The following is a 23,557-nucleotide window of genomic DNA, read 5'->3' as shown; positions in this document are numbered from 1 at the left end:
GTTACAAGGATTTACTTTCAAAAATCTCATCGTGGGGTAGCTCACACCTATAATCCCTGCACTTTGGGAGGCTGAGGCAGGTGGATCCCCTGAGGTCGGGTGTTTGGGACCAACCTGGCCAACATGGTGAAACCCTGTCTTTACTAAAAACACAAAAAATTAGCTGGGCATGGTGGTGCATGCCTGTAATTCTAGCTATTCGGGAGGCCAAGGCAGGAGAATCACTTTAACCCTGGAGGCGGAGGTTGCAGTGAGCTGAGATCGTGCCACCACACTCTAGCCTGGGTGACAGAGCAGGACTGTCTCAAAAAAAAAATCATTTGTGGGTAAGTGGGTTCAGATATTTGTTTCTGCACTGATATATATGTATTTATGTATGTGTATATGTATGCGTGTGTGTATTTATTATGTTTAACATACATATAGCAATTGTGAAAAATACCATGAAAGTCAGGAATAGGTTAAGATGAAAGAGAAGAACAGGAATGGTGTAATTTAGCTGTGGGGTGCAAGGAAGGGTTCTGGCTAGGTCCGATGAGAAAGCTTTAAGACAAGGTGTGCATGATGAATCAGCATTAGTTGGGGAAGGCTCCTAGGCAGAGCGTGCAGCATGGGTCACTCGTATATAATGGCAAATTATTAGCAGAGGAACCAAGAAAACACCCACATAGCTACAGGGGAGCAGGGCAAAGGCAGAAGCCATGCCACCAGGAGCTACAAAGGCTGGATAACAGGCCCTGATGCATGCAGTAAAGGTCACATTTAGATGCCGCCCTAGGCCTATGTGCACGACTAAAATGATCATGTGAAGCTTCCAAAACAGTGACGGAAACTAAAATCAGAGTTTCCAGAAATCTGCAAAACTGAAAGTGATAATTATCGATCGTTAGAATTACAAAGTGCTGTAGGAAAGAGATCCCAACTAGCTGAGAAAATCAAGGGAAGCTTGATGATGTTTACACTGCCTATTTTTAAAATGGGCAGTTTTTAGACATGCTGAGATTGAGCTGAGAGAGAGCACTGTAGGATCAGAGAACAGGAACAAGAGAGAAGAGAGGGGTGAAACCCTAAGAGAACAACCAGTAGTTAAGGTTTAGCAGAAGCATGGCAGCTGGAAGGACTGTAGAGGGTGACAGGGCACGTAGCTCCCTTGTGTTATTGGCTGGCTTTGGAGAAAGTGTGAGCACATTGAGTTCAGTCCCAAAAAGCTCCACAAGAGGCAGTGGAGGTGTCGGGGTTCCATTCTTTCTATACCAACACTACCCCTCTAAGAGTCTGGGAGCAAGTACATGTATTAGTTTGTTATTTACTGTATTAGTTTATTTTCCTGCTGCTATGAAGACATACCCAAGACTGGGTAATTTATAAAGGAAAGAGGTTTAATTGACACAGAGTTGTGCATGGCTAGGGAGGCCTCAGGAAATGTACAATGATGGCAGAAGGGGAAGGAAACATGTCCTTCTTCATATGGCACAGGAGAAGTGCTAAAAGAAGCAGGAAAAGCCCCTTATAAAATCATCAGATCTCATAATTCACTCACTGTCATGAGAACTGCATAGGGGAACCACCCCCATGATCTAATCACCTCCCACATGGTCCCTCCCCCAACACGTAGGGATTACAATCCAGGTTAAAATTCAAGATGAGATTTGGGTGGGGACACATAGCCAGACCATATGATTCCACTCCTGGCTCCTCCCAAATCTCATATTTCTCACGTTTCAAAACACAGTTATGCTTTCCCAACAGTTCCCCAAAGTTTAAACTGTTTCCAGCATTAACCCAAAGTCCAAGTCCACAGTCTTATCCAAGACAAGGCAAGTCCCTTCCTCCTATGAGCCTGTAAAACCAAAAGCAAGTTAATTACTTCCTAGATACCATGGGGATACAGGCATTGGGTAAGTACACCAGTTCCAATGGAAGAAGTTGGCCAAAACAAAGGGGTTACAGACCCCATGAAAGTCCAAAGTCCAACAGGGTAATCATTAAACTTTAAAGTTACAAAACGATCTCCTTTGACTCCATGTCTCACATGCAGGTCATGCTTATGCAAGAGATAGGCTTCCATGGCCTTGGGCTGCTCCACCCCTGTAGCTTTGCAGGGTACAGCTCCCTTCACCCCTTCCACTCCCTGCTTTCATGGGCTGGCACTGAGTGTCTGTTGCTTTTTCAGGTGCACAGTGCAAGCTGTAGGTGGATCTACCATTCTGGGGTCTGGAGTATGGTGGCCCTCTTCTCATAGCTCCACTAGACAGTGCCCCAATGGGGACTCTGTGTGGGGACTCCAACCCCATATTTCCCTTCCGCACTGCCCTAGCAGAGGTTCTCTGAGGGCTCCACCCCTGCAGCAGACTTCTACCTGGATATCCAGGCATTTCCATACATCCTCTGAAAGCAAGGTGGAGGTTCCCAAACCTCAATTCTTGACTTCCGTGTACCCAGAGGACAAATATCATGCAGAAGCTGTCAAGGCTTGGGACTTCCACCCTCTAAAACAAAGGCCCAAGCTGTACCTTGGTCTTTACCCATGGCTGGAGCTGAAGCAGCTGGGACACCTAGTGCCATGTCCTGAGACTGCACAGAGAAAGGGGGCCCTGAGGCTGACACACAAAACCATTTTTCCCTCCTAGGCCTCTGGGCCTATAATGAGAACGGCTGAGAAGGTCTCTGACATGCCTTGGAGACAAATTCCCCATTGTCTTGGTGATTAACATTTGATTCCTCATTACCTATGCAACTTTATGCAGAAGACTTGAATTTCTCTCCAGAAAATTGATTTTTCTTTTCTATCACAACATTAGGCTGCAAATTTTCCAAACTTTTATGCTCTGCTTCCCTTTTAAACATAAGTGCCAATTTCAGACAATCTCTCTCAAGTTCAAGTTCCACAGATCTCTAGGGCAGGGGAAAAATGCCATCAGTCTCCTTGCTAAAGCATAGCAAGAGTGACCTTTGCTCCAGTTCCCAAGAAGTTCCTCATCTGCATCTAAGACTACCTCAGCCTGGACTTCATTGTCCATATCACTATCAGAATTTTGGTCAGAACAATTCAGCTAGTCTCTAGGAAGTTCCAAACTTTTCCACATCTTCCAGTATTTTTCTGAGCCCTCACAACTGTTTCAACCTTTGTCTATTACCCAGTTCCAAAGTCACTTCCACATTTTCAGGTAACTTTATAGCAGCGCCCCACTACCCTGGTACCAATTTACTGTATTAGTTCATTTTCATGATACAATGAAGAAATACCCCAAACTGGGAAATTTATAAAGGAAAGAGGTTTAATTAACTCACAGTTCTGCATGGCTGGGGAGGCCTCAGGAAACTTACCATCATGGCAGAAGGGGAAGCAAACAAGTCCTTCTTCACATGATGGCATGTGAGAAAAGTGTAAAGTGAAGGAGAAATAGCCCCTTATAAAACCATCAGTCTCATGAGAACTCACCCACTATCATGAGAACAGCATGGGGGAACCGCCCTCATGATCCAATCACTTCCCACGTGGACCCTCACCCAACATGTGGGGATTATAATTTGGATTCCAATGCAAGATGAGATTTGGGTGGGGACACAGAGCCAGACCATATCAGTACCCTGCAACATTGCAGGATACTTGGACATTGGAAGGGATTTTTTTTCACATGGAGCAAATCAGATGATGAGTATTCCTGTAAGATAAACAAAGATAGATTACTAAGATGGGCTCCTTAAAAGCAGTGCTAATTACATTTTTGGCACTCATGGCTATATTTAGCTTTCAAATATAGTTCTTTCACAGGAGTCCACATTATGTCTAAGAGTCAGTCCTTTAAGAAATGATCATATAAAACTGAACAAGCATATAACTGTGATACAGGACTATGATAAAGGATACAAGGGCTTTGCTTATTATCAGAACCCATTGCCACTACCGATATGGTTTGTTTCCCACAGAACACTCCACTGATAATTCCTGAAAAAGTAGAAATGTTTACACATGGATAGAATATTTCAAAAGTGGATCATCCTGCTGGGACATTCCAAATCCATTAATCCAGCTAGACAACCACCAATCCATCCATCCAACTATGCATCCAGCCATTTACTCAATAATATGGTACCCATTACCATGAACTGTGCAGAGGTATACAAGTGGAAAAACAGACATTGTACCTGCTCTCTAAGGCTGACAACGTAGTGAGGAAAACAGAAACACAGTTGCAATTAAGTTGGTAAGTGCTTATTTAAAACCCTTCCGTAAAATAAATATCAGCTAAAGGAATATTCATCAAAATAAAAAAAGTCAAGGATTACACTAACATTTATGATAGAAAAGTTCAGAATCCAGGACCTGAATTTATATATTAAAGATGACTTCAACAATTCAAAACTTTAAATCAACTTCAATGTTAATATTTGAGCTAGTGTTGTCAAGAATTTCTCCACTAGCATTTCAACTTTGGTTTGGTCATTCTGCTAGTTCTTTTGTGCTATCACCATTGCAATAAATGGCCCCATTCACTCACTATGATTTTCATCTATACTTCTCTAAATGTTACTTCATTTCCTTGGTGTTACTACTGCATTCTTTTTTCAAATACTACATTCAGTATTTTAGTCCTTGCCTGGCCTTCCCAAAAGGAAGTTTCAGATTTAGTTACTTGGTGCAGGGATGTCTTTTTCACCAAAATATCCTAGTATGCCTCATTAGGTTATACACAATATAGGCACTGATACAGTCTGGCTCTGTATCCCTACCCAAATCTCATCTTAAATTGCAATCCAAATTGTTCCCCACTCTTGGGGGAGGGACCTCATGGGGGGTGATTAATCATGGGGGTAGTTTCCCCATGCTGTTCTTGTGAGAGTGAGTGAGTTCTTACAAGATCTGATGGTTTTAGAAGGGGCTTTTCCTCCTTAGCTTTGCATTTCTCTCACCTGCCGCCTTGTGAAGAAGGACATATTTGCTTCCCCTTATGCCATGATTATAAATTTCCTGAGGCCTCCCTAGCCAAGCAGAACTGTGAGTCAATTAAATCTTTCTTTATATATTACCTGGTCTCAGCTATTTATTTGTAGCAGTGTAATAGCAGACTAATACAGGCACTCAATATATTTATTGAATGTATTTGTTATTGATCAAGGATAATTAGTGTTTAAGAAAAAAAGATTTGGAAAAGAGTAATCTATTAAAGCTTGACTGAGAGACAGGCAAATAGCATAAGCATATGTGTCAGCTGTAACAGGATGATTTATTGAACTGCCTTTGTTCATTTAACCTGGTACAATCATAGCCACCAAACTGCTAAATATAGCAAAATATAGATAGTGCTATAAGTGACAAAATAAGCCATTCAAATGAACTCAGAGTAGGAGAAAATTAACAAGTTCATCCGAAGAAGTTAATCACATGAATTGAAAGAAAAAAAAGTAGCTTAAATTTAAAATGTAAAGACAATGAACTATCCAAACATCAAACGTTATCATTAGATAATATAAATATTATTTCAAAGATTCAACATCTAAAATCATAAAAAACCAAAGTTGTATATGAAATTGATGAATAACATATTTCATATTAAGTCCATGAATTTTTCCCAACTTTGGTTCAATTTAGAAATAAACTATAACTAATTTTAGAGCCAATTAACAATTCAGAACACATGCACTATCTCTATTAGGAAAAGTAGTCAATTTAATGCCTCCAAGATTGATCAAAACATTGTAAGATGATGTAAACATGTCCAGGATTTTCCTAATTAGCAAAACTGACCATTCCCTCTGTCTCTTCATCTCCAACACAATCATGACACACATCAAATCTAATTCTCAGTTGGTTTTTAGGCGAGATGTGTGTTTCATGATATCTCAAAATATTCCTTTGGAATATATTTTTTAAAACAAAGAGCAAATCCCTCATAATTCATTTTAGATTTTGAGTCTAAATACTCATTTATTACATACTTTTCAATAGGCTCATTATTTCACTTCCAAACCACATACTGCTTAACCAGGGCTTAAATGGAAACTGGACATTTTTCCAGGTTCTTTCTCCAGGAATGTTCCCTCAATTCAGGATATGCTTTTCCATACCTGTTCCACTACTTCATAGCAAGTGTTATATTTTCTCTAGTTTTGCCTCAAATTCATTAGAAACTTTTTAGTCAATAAGAGAAAGCTGCAGGAGTAGAGATGGAAAATGGATTCCATTGGTGGTAGTTTAAAAATGAAGATTCTTCTACAAATATGGAACTATTTTCTGGAGTGAAAATATTCCTCAGTATTGTCCAGAATATTGCAGGACCAAACCACCCACTTCCAACATAGCCTTTATTTAATATTTCAAAGTCAAGACAGATTGATTTCTCAAAAGCAAGACTCTAGGCCACAGTTGCAACATACCATGTGATTTTTTTCCCCATATTTGGTTACATTTTAATGTTTTCATTTATTAGTGACATATTCTATGACTATGTTGATTTTCAAAAAATTCCCTTGGAAGAAGAAATTAAATTACTGTCAAAACATCTTCAAAACTCCTACCAATATCTTAAAAATCTACACATGTTCAAGATCGCAATTACGTAGAAAATGACTAGCAAAGAGTGCATCAGAGAGGCAAGAGTTAAGGAAAGGAAAAACAGCCTACAAAGAACCAAAGGTGCAAGAGGTCTACATCTTATAAAAACTGATGAAATGCTGTATGCTTGTGTGGGTGGTGCCTCAGTCCATTCAGGGTCCTAAAAGAGAATGCCTGAGGCCACATGGCTTAAATCACAGACATGTACTTCTCAGAGTTGTGAGGCTGGGAAGTCCCGGATCAAGGCACTGGCAGACCTGGTGTCCAGTGATGGAATTCTTCCTGGGCTGTTTTTTTTTTTTTTTTTTTTTCATCATATCCTCACATAACAATGAGAGAGAGAGAAAACTCTAGTGTGTCTTCTTATAAGGGCACTAATCTCATCATGAGGGCCCCACCATTATGACTTCCTCACCACCCCGTGGCCCAGCCTCCTAATATGACCACACTGGGGATTTCGGTTCAACATATGAATTTGGTTGCGTCACAAACATTCAGTCCACAGCAGGTTGAAAGAATTGAGAGCACCAATTTCAAAGTCACACTCTCCCAAATTGAGAGGCCTGAGGAAATGTAGGCTCCTGAACGTCTTGGTGAACTGCCTCAGGATAACATAAAGGTCACATAACCAAACACTCAGCAGTGTTCACCCACTGCCTACCTTGCCTTATTCTAAATACAAGGACTAGAAATATGAAGGACTAGGCTCAGGGCAGGGTTGGAAGTTGGGACAAAGGTCTGGGATGCAGGTGAATGTGCATAGCCTCTGGGTCCCTAGGATTATCTTATAACTTCTCTGGACACAGCCTCCTCATATACCCTGCATGGAAGAATTTAGAATCATCTTGACACTTGAAAAAAATTACTATATTGTCATATTTAAAAAGAAATAAACTGTCTAGTCCCCAATCGGATTTTAGATGACCATATAATTCATAGTTCTTTAAGTAGAGAAGAACTAATTTGGTTTTCCCCTTTGTTTCGTCTGCATATAATTTATATATATGTGATTTAAAATTATGTTCCTTCTCATTTTTTAAAAATATCTATTGGGATGGAACCTACTGAAAGTTCAAATAATTACTCTGCTGGTGGTGTACAGCTAAAATAAATAACAGGAAATTCTCTAACAGGTTTCAGGGAGCTCTCTAATTTTCCACTTTCTCACAACACAGTCCAAATTCATCAAATACTAGATGTTACTTTTGAAAGCTTAAAATTCAGTTGCGGTGCTCCATGGGACACACATCTGCAAAGGGAAACGATGCACTGAATGAAGCACACATCCACAGTGATCTCTGTCTACCTCGCAAAAAAAGTGGTCCCTTTGTAAGGCTTTTATATGGGTCAAAACACCCTACCTGCTGAGTTCAAAGCCACACAAGAAGCCCTCAAGTAAAAAGGACCTGGGATTACTTTTTTCTCTCTCTCTTCATATTTCTTTCTGTAAAATTAAAAAAAAATCTTCATGAGGATAAGTGGCATAAAAATAAGCCCATTTTCAATAAGACCTGCTGGAAAATATAAAGTTGGAAAAGCTTATTTACTTTTAAAAAACCGTAGTAAAATAAATACAGGTTGGCATTTAAGGCAAGACCGTTATCACTAACAGGTCTGTTAGGGGCTGCATTTACTACATTTTGCAAAAGCAACCATAAAATGAAAGAAAAAATAGTGTTCTTGTTCATACCATGGTTGCTAAGTTTCAAAGTATTTTCACTTCAAAGTCCTAGAATTTCTAACAGAAAGTAAAATAGTTCAGCCATGACACTAGCTCTAGGGTATGGTTTTCCCCACCATTTACCTTTTGTTTTTTAGTTTTGCTTCTCTCCTAGGGAACTATTTTTAAATGTAGTAAATTCTATAGTAGTAAAAATTTCTAAAGATGATTGATGGAACTTAAAGTCTTCTGAATGTATAACGGTCAACAGTAGCAGCGTTAATAATACAATGTTAACAAAGGAAAGTTATTGGCTTCTCACAAGGTACTGGACACTATGCTAAGCACCTTTGATGCATTGTGTTATTTCAATGCTCACAGCTCTATGTAGTAGGTAAAATGTTATAATTACCCACATTTCATACAAAAAGACTGCAGCTTAGAGAGAAGTTCAGCAAATTAAGCAATGCCAATGATCAGCAAATATCAGAGCCAAAGTACAAAAGCAGTTTTGTCTGACATAATCAGAAACTCTTGAACAACCTTTGTTCATCAATTTCCCCCTACCCTTACACTCTCTCAGGGCAGTGTTGGCAAAAGTTTTGCATCAGAATCAGAGTCCAAGAAAATGTAATCTTAAAAAGTCAAGGATTAGGTAAATAGGAGTAATTAGAGAAGTACTGCTGACTTTTTTTCAGCTGAATAATTTTGTTTGTACAAATAAGTCCTGGGGGTGTGTCTAAAAATACAATGGATGACTGTGCAAATAGATGGCCAAATTACTGGACGTGGAATTGAAGAAAATTTTCCCAAACTTTACATAAAATCTGCTATGCTCACAAATGGCCTTTGTGAATGGATTTTCTGTTGTTTACTTTTCTTTCCATGCCTGTACAAGGCTACAAAGAAAGGACCTCATTTCATGTCCGAACTCTCTCAACCCAAAACTGGGAAAGCATGTGAGTTTTGTGAGACAGACAGAAAATTATAGTAATTGGTGGAGGAGTAATTTAGAGCCAAAAGGAATCATAAAAATTTTCAGCTCCCTGGGAATTCACAGAAACCTCACAGCGGGCATTTGATATTTTTTTTAATGCATTTGAGATAGCTCTACTTCTTCACTGATTCCAAACATACGGATGGAGGGCTATGATCTAGATGCTCTTCTATATGGTACGTATCCTTCTTAGCTATAAGCTGACTGTGACCTATGACTGATACTTGAATTACAAAGTAACAGCCTAGAGTGAACACAACCCTTGTTTTCCCAAGGTATTTATGAAAAAGAATACCACAAGTGGGACGGTAAACTAGTTCAACCATTGTGGAAGTCAGTGTGGCGATTCCTCAGGGATCTAGAACTAGAAACACCATTCGACCCAGCCATCCCATTACTGGGTATATACCCAAAGGACTATAAATCATGCTGCTATAAAGACACATGCACATGTATGTTTATTGCGGCACTATTCACAATAGCAAAGACTTGGAACCAACCCAAATGTCCAACAATGATAGACTGGATTAAGAAAATGTGGCACATATACACCATGGAATACTATGCAGCCATAAAAAATGATGAGTTCATATCCTTTGTAGGGACATGGATGAAATTGGAAATCATCATTCTCAGTAAACTATCGCAAGGACAAAAAACCAAACAACACATGTTCTCACTCATAGATTGGAATTGAACAATGAGAACACACGGACACAGGAAGGGGAACTTCACACTCTGGGGATGGGGTGGGGGGAGGGGGGAGGGATAGCATTAGGAGATATACCTAATGCTAAATGACGAGTTAATGGGTGCAGCACACCAGCATGGCACATGTATACATATGTAACTAACTGGCACATTGTGCACATGTACCCTAAAACTTAAAGTATAATAAAAAAAAAAGAAAAAAAGAAAAAGAATACCTACACAAGGAGAAATAAACCACAGGTAATTTTGTTCAGCACTCCAGTTGTTCATACACATGGATTTCTTGCACTTGATATCAATTGAAGCAGTTTTATGTTCCAATGAATAAAAATGGTGCGAGAGGAGATCATACTCATCCTTACAAATCACATAAGAATTCAACACGTACTTATTCATTCCTGCCTATTTCACCATTGAAACAATTTTTTCTATGAAGTAGCAAGTCCAGGAACAGAAAGTGGACACTTTCAACTCATATTTGTCAGTAGCAGCTAAAATACAAACAAAACAAAAAGTGTCAACCTATCACTTGAATAACAACCTTTAAAAATATTGTTCTACCATGGAAAGACAATTTGCTTTTGGTTTGTTATATGCATTTGAATTTAATTCTTAAAAATATGGAAATAAAAAATCTTCCAGATCACTTAACACAAATAAGAATTTTATTATTTCTGTATTAGAGGTGAGAAGTTTAGTGTTGTCTCTCTGTCTGTCTGTCTGTCTCTCTCTCTCTCTATCACTACAATGTTTATTTATGGAAAGCCACACACAAATTACTACCACTAGAGTGTCAGCGACTTGAAGGCCGGAATCAGATTCACTGTGTGATTCATTCTGTGCCCTGTTGCACAATCTCTGGCTCATGGCAGTGCTCAATAAATATTTGTGGAATAAACAAATGAAAGTAACGCTGATATTGATCTCTGCCCCCTTTCCCACATGTCTCACTAAAGCGGCTATCTCCAAGGTGCTGGTGATTCACCTTTTCAGTACTAATGGTATTTTCAGCAGTGGAGCAGCCGTGGATAGGGAATGGTGGACTACTCAAAAGCAGAATTATTCTAAGGCAACTTCTCACTTGCAATAAGGGCTGGTAAAGTAGGAAAAGTTATCTTTTTCTATTATGTATCCCTGTTTCTAAACATACATATAGAGTTACAAGATTATAAATAATATGAATTGGTTTTCCATCTTGAAACCATCCCACAGATATAGAAGACCTTACAATGGTTATGAAACACAACCTAATGTTCTTTACCTTGACCATGACCGCATGAAACCACCGGTAATCACACACAGGCAATTTTGTATGTTTCAAGCTGATCAAAAGCAAACCATGGCTGACTGAAATTAGAAAGTGGAGGGGAACGGCAGGGCAGGAGAGGGCAGGAGAACTACCAATTGCATTTTATAAAATGAGTTGAGAAATACTGTCTATAGTTGATAGAACAACAAATATAGGCTTAAGGGTTTTTGAAGTTACCAAGGTGACTGACAGGAGAAAAACTAAAAGTTACATGTATATATTAAACACAATGGGGTGATAGGAGATGGAGAGTGGTGTAGGATGAGCTGAATCCCTATCCATAATAGCAGGATATCAATAAGACAACATCTAAAAAAAATTTCAGACTTGACATATTATTTAGGAATCTGGAGATAAATCCTCCCAAAGCTAACATAAATAGTTAAATGTTTTGCTCTGGGGTGCAAAACTAGGTAAGAATAGCTACAGGGAGATTGTAGGTTTTCCTTATGAACCTTCAGTATCATTTGGTTTATTTTCACCATGTGTATTTATCACTTTGCTATAAATATATATCTTAAGAGAGTAACAAAAATGTCTAACTCATGAGTTTGTTGTAAGCATGTAGTGAAATAACGCATATGAAGAACTAACATCTGAGTAAAGGAAGCATTCATAAATGATGGCTGTTATTTTTTAACTTAAACAATTTGTATTGATGCATAATAGATGTATATAGTTTCAGGGTACATGTGATAATTTAGTACATTCATCTAACTTTTACAAACCAAATCAGCGTACTTAGGATCCATCACTTTAAGAATTTGTCTTTTCTGTATGCTAGAAACATTTAATTATGCTCTTCTGTTTTGAAATGTACAGATTGTTGTAACCTTAGTCACCCTGCTGATCTAGCTAACACTAGGTTTTATTTCTTCTATCAAATGGTAGTGATTGTTTCGTAGAAATAAAGTGTCAAGGCTGAAAAATTCAGACAACCTAGATACACTGTTTTTACCAAAAGTACATTATGTTTTGTGAAAATATGACATATGCAAAACACATCACATATTGTAAAAAAAAGGTGTCAGTTTTAATTGTATGACACATACCATACAGGCATTTAAAATGAATGTGTATGTGCTCTTGAATAAGAAAAAATACTATTTTCTATTATGAGCTTCAATCTTAAATTGTACACAAGACTTTGCTAAAGCATTTATACCTGAAAAAAATCACTTTTTTTGTCTGTCTTTCAAAACTTTTCAATATTTCCTCTTCACTCACGAAGACTTTCAGAATTTGGACTTTTTTTTTTAGCTTTAATTAGAGTTAAAATTTTAAAGAGAATGATTGAATTAGGCTGAGCTGAATCTAGCTATCAGAAAGCAGAAACAAAAACCAAAGCAAAGAAAAATGTTTTGATACTGACATATGCACATTTTAAAGTTAAAACAAGGGAACTGAAATTCACTTGTGGAAAATGCAGAGTTAATCCTGCATGGATTTCTCCTGTTCTTCTAAAAGGAAGAGTGAACCAGAGCTGACCCACTTACCACAATGTGGATGAGAGGCTCCAACCAGAAGGAAAATACAACCTTTGGAAATCTCTCCTCTGCTTTCACTGAAAGTCTCCGAGCGCAGTTCTGGTCCACGCTCAGAGTCTGACACATCCCTCCCCCGTCCCCACCTCTCAACACACACAGCTGATGAGGCCGATTCCTGTAGATCGACTTCAAAAAAGAAAAAGTCATTCCAGAAAACACATCAGCTCAGGCTGACTCAAAGGCAGCCCCAAATTCAGCCCACAGCGGTTGGCTGCTGTCCTTTTATGACTGGAGAGCTGGAGTGCAGCTCTTTAATTAAAAGGGAAGCCTTAGCCTGCTCAAGGTAAAAAAAAAAAAAAAAAAAAAAGGACTTAATTTCTGAATTTGCATTGAACTCTGACACGTGCACTCCTTTTTTTCTGTAAAACCACTCAAAGTAGCCACCACAATGAACATTAAAATCCATACAATAAAAAAAGTTAAAGGTTTACACAGAAGGACTGGAGTTGAAGCTGGGCAGACAGAAGAGGAGGCGTGAAGATCAGCAGCGTTATTTATTGGAAGGATCAGAGGCTGCTTAGGGCCAAGTCCTTGCTTTCTGTCAAAACACTCCCAGCAGGTGGAGAGGGGGCTGACTGTCTAGTGATTAGAGAGCCAAGAGGGACTTGAGCATCTGCAGGGGAGCGACTGCCTGGGGTATTAGAGACCTGATTAACCTTCCACTAAAAGAACGGAACTACCTTCACTGCGCTAGTTAATCAATCACTTAGGGATGTAACCTTATATAATATGCAAAATTGTTTTTGAACTTTTTTTTTAACTCAAGAGCAAGCTGTAAGTCAGGCTCTTTATAAAACATATCAGAGTCAGACCCTTCCAGCCATGTGGGGTGGGGAGATTTGACCTGATTCCATTAATCCATTCAATTTTGTGGAATGAATTAAACAAGCCTACTAGTACTAAGACAACTGGAGCAAAACTAATAAAGCCAATATGAACTGTGAATTTCCAATCTGGATATTCCAGGCTTCTGTGACTGGTCCCTGAAAGAAATCCATATGTATCTATAAAACAATTAGAGCTAATTTAAGAAGAGAGATGCCATGTACTCACCACAGAAGTCAAGATTTTGACATTTTCACTTTAGAGTTCAGAGAGTCAAAATACCCATGCAGTATGTAGACTGAATGTATTTAAGAATTTAAAGTCAGGAAAGGAATAAATTCGCTTTTGATCTGTGTGAGCCAGAATTCACTGTGTCTTAACCCTTCAGCAAAAGTTATCCATAACTGATGATAAAGAGGCAAAAAATTATTCCTCTCCCTCAGCCTCTGTGAATCATATCATCAGAGAAACTTCTGTTTAGAAGAGTGCTGCTGAAGACTGGTTCACACTCATTTCCCAATGCAGAGATCCAACAAATGTATGACTGAATATTTCTAAGAATGTCACATATCAAGCAGGCAATGGTACAAGACCTGTCATTCGCTCAGCAACACTGGGCTGGTGGGGGCTACAAGAACAGACTCAGCTCCAGGAATTGCAACAAAGGATGCAAAGAAGTGTCCCTGCATAGTGCTTCCAGGATGTCTGAAATTATCCAGCACCGAAGTGCCGCATCAGGGGAATTGAGGAATTCCAGTGCAGGTCAGTTGAGGCCAATCCTCCAGTATATGGTTTCCAAAATATTTGTTAAAAGATGGCCATGTAATAATCACCTGGCTAGGGAGGAGAGCAGCTGGCAAGAGCTAGAATAACCAGCTGGGATTCAAGAAAGACTTATTAGGGAAAGAATGAGGGAAGCAGGCATTGTGAAGGAGGGAAAGAGTGCCAGTGCTCTCCACCACGACCTGCGACCTGCAGGGACACCTGAGGCTAAACCAATTAGGGTTACCATGGCTGCAATGAGGGAGAATGCAGGCAGTGAGGCATCGTGGGGCATCTCAGCAAGAGGGACTTACAGGATGTAGACTTGTGTTAGGTAATTTTAGAGGGTGTTCAAGGAAGTGGGATATTCTGTGGGTTGGATGCTGTCAGGACATGGATTAGTTCTATGATTGGCCTCATGGTAAATCTTATCTCTAAGGAGTGAGGACAAGAGCCAGGCTAAGGCTGTAATTGGTCAAGAAGCAGCATCACTCAGATTAGCCAGCAAGGGTGTCTTGGGTAGCCCGTGTTTGAGTGGCCTGAATAATAATCACGTTTGTCTGTGTTCATATGTTACAGAGGGGTCTTGTTCCATCATGAGCACAGAGACACCTGGTCTGAGACTTGAGGTTTGGAAAAATTGTTTATGTTCAGTGGAACACCATGGGCCAGCTGTGTCTGCCAGCTGCACCCTCCTGGGTGTCAGAGGCTGTTCTGTGCTTCTCAGAGGAGGACAGCAGGTGAGGTATTATTGCTGGGACAGAGGGCGTGACATGCTAACAGGGCTTGGGAGCGACATAGGAGCCCGACAGACTCTAAGTGCGACTTCATCACGGGTATCTGAGCTGGAGTGTTGACCTCGGCTTTGGAGAAAGGTGTGTTTAGTGGATTCATGGGTGAAGCTCTGAAAAAGGCAGAGCCTGGGGCTAAATGTATCCATATCCTCAGTAGCTAGTCACACCTGTTCATGTCTAGTTTTACAGGTAACAACTTCCTAATGTCATGGGTTAAGATACACCACTATGTAAACCATAGTCTTTATTTCCCACTTTCAAAATTCACAGGAAAACAATTCGTCCGTGGGGCTTCATACTCTGAAGCACAGACTGCACCGTCCTGCCGTGGGTGGTGTCTCAGGTGCGTCCAGGTGAAGGAAACACTGCGGTCTTGAGAGCAGCTCCTGCCCCTGCCGGCAGCTCCCTCCGGGAACTGATTCCCAGAATCCGTTGCCAGAAACCTCTGTTCTGTTGGATTGACCCAACTCCAGCCTGCCTTGTGCACCTTTTATACAGCTTAACTCACAGGAACATGGAAGCTTACGTTTCCATCTTAAACTCCTCTTCGAAGACCCACTTGAGCATTTTCGTTTATTTTAATGCTGCTATGTGTTCACACTAAATTACTGCTAATAAATTTTCCATTTCTGAAGCATGATATTCACCCCCGCTTCACTACTCTTCATTTACTCATCGCTTTCAAGAGAGAAAAGAGGCCCCTCACAGATGACATTGAAATGACAGTGCAAGCGTTCATTTCCTGGTGACCCCAGGCCAGCGAGGTGCTTCCACCTGCGCTCACAGGGACGAACACTAGGGAGGCGTTCACCAAACTGTGTGGTGGCAGAGGGAATTTTATTTGGAAGGAAGCGTGATTGCAATTTTCTCTGGAGAAGAGTACAATGTCGTACAAATTTTAACAAACAATTACATCAAAAATTTATTTCAGGAGTTGCATACAATGTTTTTTTAATTAGAAAGCAATAATTGTCATCATGTACTGTTGAGAATGGCCCTGTGCTCGTATCAAAGCTTCTAAGAGAGAATGAATGCCAGGTCCCTAACCATACACATACACACACACACACACACACACAGCCACCCTCACACACACCACACGTACCCCACAAACCCCACACAGCCTCCCACAGCCCCACCCCACTCCACACTCCCTCTTACACAGCTCCACACACAACACACACAGCCCCTCCACACCCCTACATACCACACCTTACCCACTCCACTCCACAGCCTCCACCTCACTCCATACCCCACACCCCCACATTTCCCCCACCCACCATCCCCTATACAACCCCCACACCCCACAGCCCCCACACACCCACCCCTAAAGCCCCATACACCGCACCCCCACACCCTCATACCCCCAACATACCCCCCTCCACACACACACCACACACATCCTCATAACCCCACACACCACACACAGCCGCCTACACCCCCTACAACCCCACACACACATCCCACACACAGTCCCCAACATGCCCCACACCCCCTACAACTCCCGGACACACTCCACACACAGCCCCCCACACACCCACACGTACCTCACACAACCCACACTCCCACACACACAGCTCCCCCCACCCCAACACTCCCCCATAACCCCCCACACCCCTCCATACCCCACACACCCCTCCATACCCCAAACACACTCCACACACAGCCCTCCAAACTCACTCCCATACATACCCCAAATCCTCCCCACAGCCCCCTGCACCTCCACCCCCACCCCCCACACATCCCACACACAATATAATTAAATTTTTTTAATCTTATGTCTTTAAAAGGAGATAAACATCCTCTATTTTGTATCTTTTTATCCAAATGCTTCTATTCATAGAGTGCAAATATTGGCAAGTTAGTTGCTTAGTCTCCACGCTAGAAAAGTTCTCCTGAGCATACCAGGAAAAAGAGACAAGTCAGGGTAAGCTCTTTCTTTTCTTCTCTACACTCAGCCATGTTATACTCAAAGTCAGGACCTTTTCCAAATTTGCTAGAAAAAGAATCAAGAGCCAAATAAAAGCCTATTTAACTTCTTTTTATTTGAAACTTCAAAGTAGGTCATTTTCACAGTGAAAAGGACAAGGAAGAAAAGAGAGAAAACAGTTAACATAAAAATGAAGGCTCAACAACATTAAAACCCCATTTCAAATACTTTTTTTTTCTAAAGCACATTGTCCAATATTGTTAGGAAAAATAAGTCATGAAATTGATTTTTGTTATGTTTCCTTCCAATCATTATGAAAAGCCATTGACTGTAAGCTAAAAATGGAAAAGAAAGAAGAAAAGAACCAAAGCCTGGCACTCAAAATGAAAGGATGGAGACATTAACCATTTATGAGCCTGACTTTTTTTTTTTATTTTAAAGAGCAAGTGAATTAATATTTTGTGTTGAACTCAATTTTCAACTAGATTTTCAAAGAAGCACTGAATGCTCCTCTTTTATGTTTAGGAAAAACTTGTGTTTTTAACAACTAACTCCATTTCTGGGAGACTGAAGCTCTTACACATTTTACAAATTATTTTCTTGGCTACAGCAAACAAGCTCACCCCTGGAGCACCTCCTGATGCCCCAGAGACAGGGCTTCTCAGACTGCAGGACAGACTCCTGGGACTCTCCTGGTGATCTTTTTCGAATGCAGGTAAGAGTCAGGAGATGAGGTGAGGGACCTGGGACTTCTTCTAAGGATGCAAGGCTGGGGACCACAAGGGCCTACAGAGCTGCAGGAAATTTCAGCAGCCCATCCATGACCTACTCCCAGAAACTCAGTTAAGTCTGTGTGTCACAAGGACTGAACTTCTTTGTCTTTTGTATATTCAACAAAGGATGATAATGCACTGTATTAATTTCCTAGGACTGCCATGACCAAGTAGCACAAACATGGTGGCTTACAACAGCAGAAATATATTCTCTCATAGTACTGGAGGCTGCATCTCTGAAATCAAGGGGGTGAGGTTGTGCTCCTTCTGAAGGCTGTAAGGAAAAATTCTTCCTCTCCTCTTCCAGTTTCTGGATTGCCAGTGGTGGCTGGCAATCTTTGGTGGTCTACGACTTGTGGATGCATCACTCCGATCTCCACCTCTGTCTTCACAAGGCCTTCTCTCTTTTATGTCTTCTGTACCCTTGTGTCTTCGCATGGTGTTTTCTGTGCGTGTCTGTGTCCAAACTCCCCTCCTCTCATAAGAACATCAGTCATTGGCTCAGGGCCCACCCTACTCCAGTATGACTTGATCTTAACTAGATTACATCTGCAAAGCCCTGTTTCCAAATAAGGTCACATTTGCAGGTCTCATTGATTACAGGTTCAACATATCCTTCTGGGGGACACAGTTCAACACAAAATGTGCACAGCAAAGTCTGGGGTCCACTGAGACAGTAGTTCTTCATACTGACTATTCTTTAGAATCACCAGAGGAAGTCAAAATTATATCAATACTCGGCTACAATCAATGAAACCCGATTCTAGGGTTAAACTCAGGCATTACTACTCTTTAAAACTTCCCAAACAATTATAGTGCATACCAAGGTTTGAGAACCACTGCATAAGACTCAGATTTTACAGACCTTTGTGAATATGTGTAGTACTTCCAAATGGAATGTCTGCTTTCTTAGTATACAAATATACTGGCAATTTAATCTGTGCTGGAAATATGCTGTTTAGAAAACAGGATTTTGATAATGGTTTTCAAGAAAACAAAAGTTTCTTCTCATTGAGGTGATTATTAAAAATTTGATTTTTTAAAAAAGCAGTATAATATGGATTATGAAATATTTATTCCTATATATATCACTGCACACATTTAGAAATAAAGGCAAAGGGTTAAAGAGGAAAGTACATATGAAAGAATTAAACTGAGGAAATTTGAGCCAGGAAAGTTAATCAGAATAAATTAATGACATCTTAACACCTTTCTTAAGACTTGCCCATGGTGATATATGTGTAATTTTGCTCCGAAGGAACTAGAAAATCGAACTGTTTTTGAACTATTCTTGCTGATTGCCACCAATTTTCCAGACACACAATTCCAGGAAACATTTGCTAATGGTCTCTAAATTTTCAAATAGATTGATGCCACTACTTGCTTGAGAGAGAGAGAGACAGACAGACAGCGAGAGGGAGAGAGAGAAGACAATAATGTTCAATATATATATGGTCATACCCGGAGCCCTAAACAAGACTTTCGAAAAGGTAAAATAAGTAATATTGGGGCATCAGATGTCATTTTCTTTTTTGGATTGAAGACAGTTCTGCACTGGTATTTGCTTTTTTGTGACAGTGATTACTGACTAAACAGTAATAACAATTTCATGAAACAATAAATTTCACTGTGTTTATTACCAGGTAGTGTAAAGTAGGGAGCGAAATAAATACTGGTATTTTATAATCCAGGGGAAAGGAAAACACATTAATGAAAACATCAAGGGCTATACTGGGAAATGTAGCACAATAAAATATGAGAAGTTAAATTGTAATATGAAAATATACCAAAACACAGCAATCAGGTTAACAATGATAATTAGATCATAAAATCTGTTCGGTAGGAAAAGGTAAGGATAAAGAAGTCAACATGTGGTTTATGTAAAACTAAGACATAATTTATCATCCAAACCAGGGCCCTTGAGAAAAAATAAGTTGGTATTAAAAATTATTCCAGCACAACAAGTGTAAGCAGAGACTGTTCCCAGCCACTGTGAATTTAGTCCGCCTCACCACTGCTCTCAGCTCACCTTTGCCTGTGCCATTGCTTTAGTCCTTGAAATACCATTCTAATGTCTATTCCACGATCACATAGAAAGGAGTACTCATTTATTCAACACCGATTCCAATGTGTTGTACACACAGTCCACAAATACTCAATTATTATCAAGAGTAAAAACAGGCTAAACTATACAGCAGTAAAAATCAGCCCCCAAATCTCGGTGGCTGAAAAGAAAGTATATTTATCTCTCAGGTTACCTGCCCATCGTGGTTAGGCAGGGGTCTCTGTTCAGCCTAGCCTTGAACTTTGGCAATCATGCAACCTGAGGAAAATGAAAGGATGTCCAAGGCCTCTCACTAACAGTGTATGTCACGCCTTGGCAATGACACATAACACATTCTTTCATATCCAATTCACCATAACTAATCACACAGTACTACTCAACCATGAATGACTCCCAAATGCAATCCCACCTAAGTTCTGAAAGGGGTAAGTGGAAATATTTGCAAGTATAATGAATGTTTACCATAAAAATAACTTCATAACTCAATGTCTTCTGGAACCTGGCTCTTAATAAATACCTTCCTTGGTATTTTTCCTTTTCTATTTTCAGGAGGGGAAGTATATTAAAAACTGTTTCTAAATCTGCTCTTGGTTTCAAAGATGCTGCAGAGGAAACGATGTTTTATGTATGCCCCACTTTCCATACTACCCTCTCTACCTAGCGCTGAGCCAGTAATGATGCAGGTCCTTGGCACAGTCTCTGTGACCAGTACAGCCTAGGAAATAGCCACATTTGTCAAAGTACAAATAAGGGAAACTTCCCTTTCCCACATAGGCAGCGTTGATTGTGACATACAGATATAGTTTCTTTCAAGACACAGGAATACCAGTAGATTGCATTTAATACTCTGACAAGTAGAGGGCACACACAAAATTCAATATATTGGATGATCTCTACAACATTAACTGAATATGTGTTTATAATAATAAAAAGCTCGGAAAAAATATTTTAAAGGGTGTTATTCCTAAGAAATGGTATTAATAAAATACCATTAATAAAAACATATTTCCTTATTTAGATATTTTATTTGTTTTCCAGATACTCTGCAGTAAACTTGCATTACATTTGCAAACAGAAAAAAATATTATTTTGGAGAAAAGGATCTAAGTGCTTCATGTAATGGCTATATTCAGATATATTTGTCTTTTCTGAGAAGGTAACTTATGACCCAGATGATAGCTTCTGCTCACGGATGTATTATAACTTTAGGTTGCTCTTAGAATGCCACCTGATTGTATGGCTATAATAAGCTGGTGTTTAAAAGTAGAGTTTGATGGCTTGGGCGGTCATTCCCCTTCTTGAGGAGAATCTTCATGTGAAAAATGTTGGTTATATATGTATAATGTTGTGTGGTGGAAAAATATTACATATGAATTTTTATTCTCAGTGGTGCCAAAAATGAGCAGATGCTAACTTCATCCTATACTCTTTCATAAAATATACCTTGTCAATCTCAATTAAAATCATATTCCTAATTTATAGAATATCAAAATTTGTTGCTAAAACTTGCTGTTGAATTTAAAACGTGAATAACATTTCTGACATAACATTGTTTGGTAGTTTAAAGTGGTGAAATATCATATGGCCCCTGATGATGAAACTAGCTCAATTGTCTAATAGAACTGATGTTTATGGTTCATTTGAAATAAACATAGAAATTGACACTCCTAGCCTTAAAACTTGAAAAAATTACAGTTGTCTTATCTGAATTCTTTTCTCAGAAAGCCAGCAGTCCACTCAGATAATATCAAGAAGCTGAAACCCACCAAATCACTGCATCTGGACAATGAGATGCCAGACTCCTCACAGTCATGGTCATAATTGCTTAACTGACCACTTGCTTCCTGTTGACCAACTCCTCTTCCTTACCGCTCCCTAATTCCTGTTTTCCCACACAAGGTTACATTTCTTCCCTGCTACATAAACCCCTAATTTCAGTCAGTCAGGAAGATGGATTTGAGGCTGATCTCCCATCTCCTCAGCTGCAGCACCCAATAAAGCCTTTGTCCTTAGCAACACTTGCTGTCTCAGTGATTGGCTTTCTGTGCAGCAAGCTGCAGAATCTAGAGTGAACCGCTGGTGTTTTTGGTAACAAAGAAAACTCCTGCCTTCAAATTCCCTGGGGATCTCATTGGAAAGATAGGAAAATAGGCGCTTTTCAGAATATTGTGGAACAATAATGCAATCACAGGGTATAAAGGGTCCTTATAGAAATTGAAAGTAACTCCAGACTGAGGGGTTAAGGACAGACAAGCTGGAGAAGAAGCTGTTGTCTGCTCTGAGATTCAGCATAAGAATCCCACCACTTGTTATATCATAATAACCAGTATCTCTTACCTGAATTTGGCAGTTGCTTTACTCCACCATTTTCTAAACTACCTGACCCATTTTTCACCTACATGACATTTGATGCTTAAAAGGATTACCTTGAATGGACAAATACAGCCCCTTAAGAGTGACCACTTTGCATCTGCCCTGCAGTGACCTGCCTTCATCTCCAGGGAAGGAGTTGAGATTCAGTTAGCAGCAATAAAAATCTCTAGATGCTCTTTTTCTTTGGATACACTACTTAGCATATCTGAACCTCAGCCTACCAAATGGACCTTCAGTAGTACCCAGCCCATTATAAATATTTTTTTTGAATTTAATATAGTATAAAGATGAGGGAAGGTTCTGAAAAAATATATTTTTTAAAAAAATAGTCAAATAAGGATATTTCATACATAAAGGTGATTTCTCCATATTCAGTGTAAAATTATCATTTATAAACTTTATTTGTTAATATTAATTCAGCTAAAATCTGTGTATTTTTCTTGTATTCATTTATTTTAAGTTAGTATGTTTTTCTAATGATCTCTTCTTTTTTTATCTGGGATACATGTGTGTATGTGTGTGTGTTATGTGTAAATTACATGAATGTATACAACATATGCATCTCATAAATATAATATCATTTAAAATTATTAATGCTAATTGAATGCCTACTCTGTGTCAAGATCTATTCTAAAAACATTTATATGGTAACTTATTGAAACTTCTAGTAATTCATCCATCTTAGTTTACAGATCAAGTCTTAAAATATTTTGCTAAAGATTGAACATTGTAATAAATAGCAAACGAGTTATTTCTCCATCCTTCAATTTCTTATAACTTTGGAAAACCATTATTTATATTTTTATCTACATATAAATTGAGGACTAAGCTCGGATTTTTTATCTTGCCCAAATTCCTACCTAAGGGGTCTAGGGAGTCATGTCATATAAACCACAAATTCTCATCAGATGGGTTTCATTTGACCCTATATATTGTGACTTACTTTTCAATCTGACTCTGGCATGACATTATGAAACAAGGAAAAAAATACTTAACCCCAAAATATATTCCCTTGCCATATCTTGAAATTGCCCTGCAAAGTCTCTTGTGGGAAAAATCCACATTCTATAGAGAATCCCCTTCTCCCTTTGTTTTCCTTCCTTTCTTTCCAGATCCAGGAGATAATCAACTAAGAGCCAGGCACCCGTTTAAGTCTGATAAGAAACAATTTACAACCTGCTCTCTCTGAGGTCTGCTGAGAGCTCCCTCTGCACAATAAAACTTGGTTTCCACAATCCTTTATCTTCACCCTGAG

The 23,557-nt window shown here is 39.4% G+C and overlaps 1 protein-coding gene across 3 annotated transcripts in view, besides 1 other annotated feature; it reads right to left on the bottom strand.

Annotated features, from left to right (window-relative positions):
- The window catches only part of MYO16 (myosin XVI), a 712,290-nt gene that overhangs the window by 599,037 nt on the left and 89,696 nt on the right, over window positions 1-23,557 (bottom strand). Inside the window, exon 1 of one of the 3 annotated variants that reach the window (NM_015011.3) lies at window positions 12,730-13,064. The exons of the other annotated variants lie outside the window; for them this stretch is intronic. The gene's annotated coding sequence lies outside the window, so the exon portion shown is untranslated. Of the gene's footprint in view, window positions 1-12,729; window positions 13,065-23,557 lie in introns of those variants that run through there. 3 annotated transcript variants of the gene reach the window in all.
- Window positions 15,309-15,478: an enhancer, noted in NCBI's record as "experimental_32298 CRE fragment used in MPRA reporter constructs". NCBI's record gives its function as "activates a minimal promoter by MPRAs in K562 erythroleukemia cells, with activity observed for both the introgressed and non-introgressed 13:109245924 variant alleles {active_cell/tissue: K562}" and the evidence as "EXISTENCE:reporter gene assay evidence [ECO:0000049][PMID:34662402]".

The sequence above is a fragment of the Homo sapiens genome, chromosome 13 (genome assembly GCF_000001405.40).
Source record: "Homo sapiens chromosome 13, GRCh38.p14 Primary Assembly".
Lineage (NCBI taxonomy): Eukaryota > Metazoa > Chordata > Mammalia > Primates > Hominidae > Homo > Homo sapiens.
The sequence above is the reverse complement of the archived record's forward strand: the minus strand, read 5'-3'. Positions and strand labels throughout refer to the sequence as shown.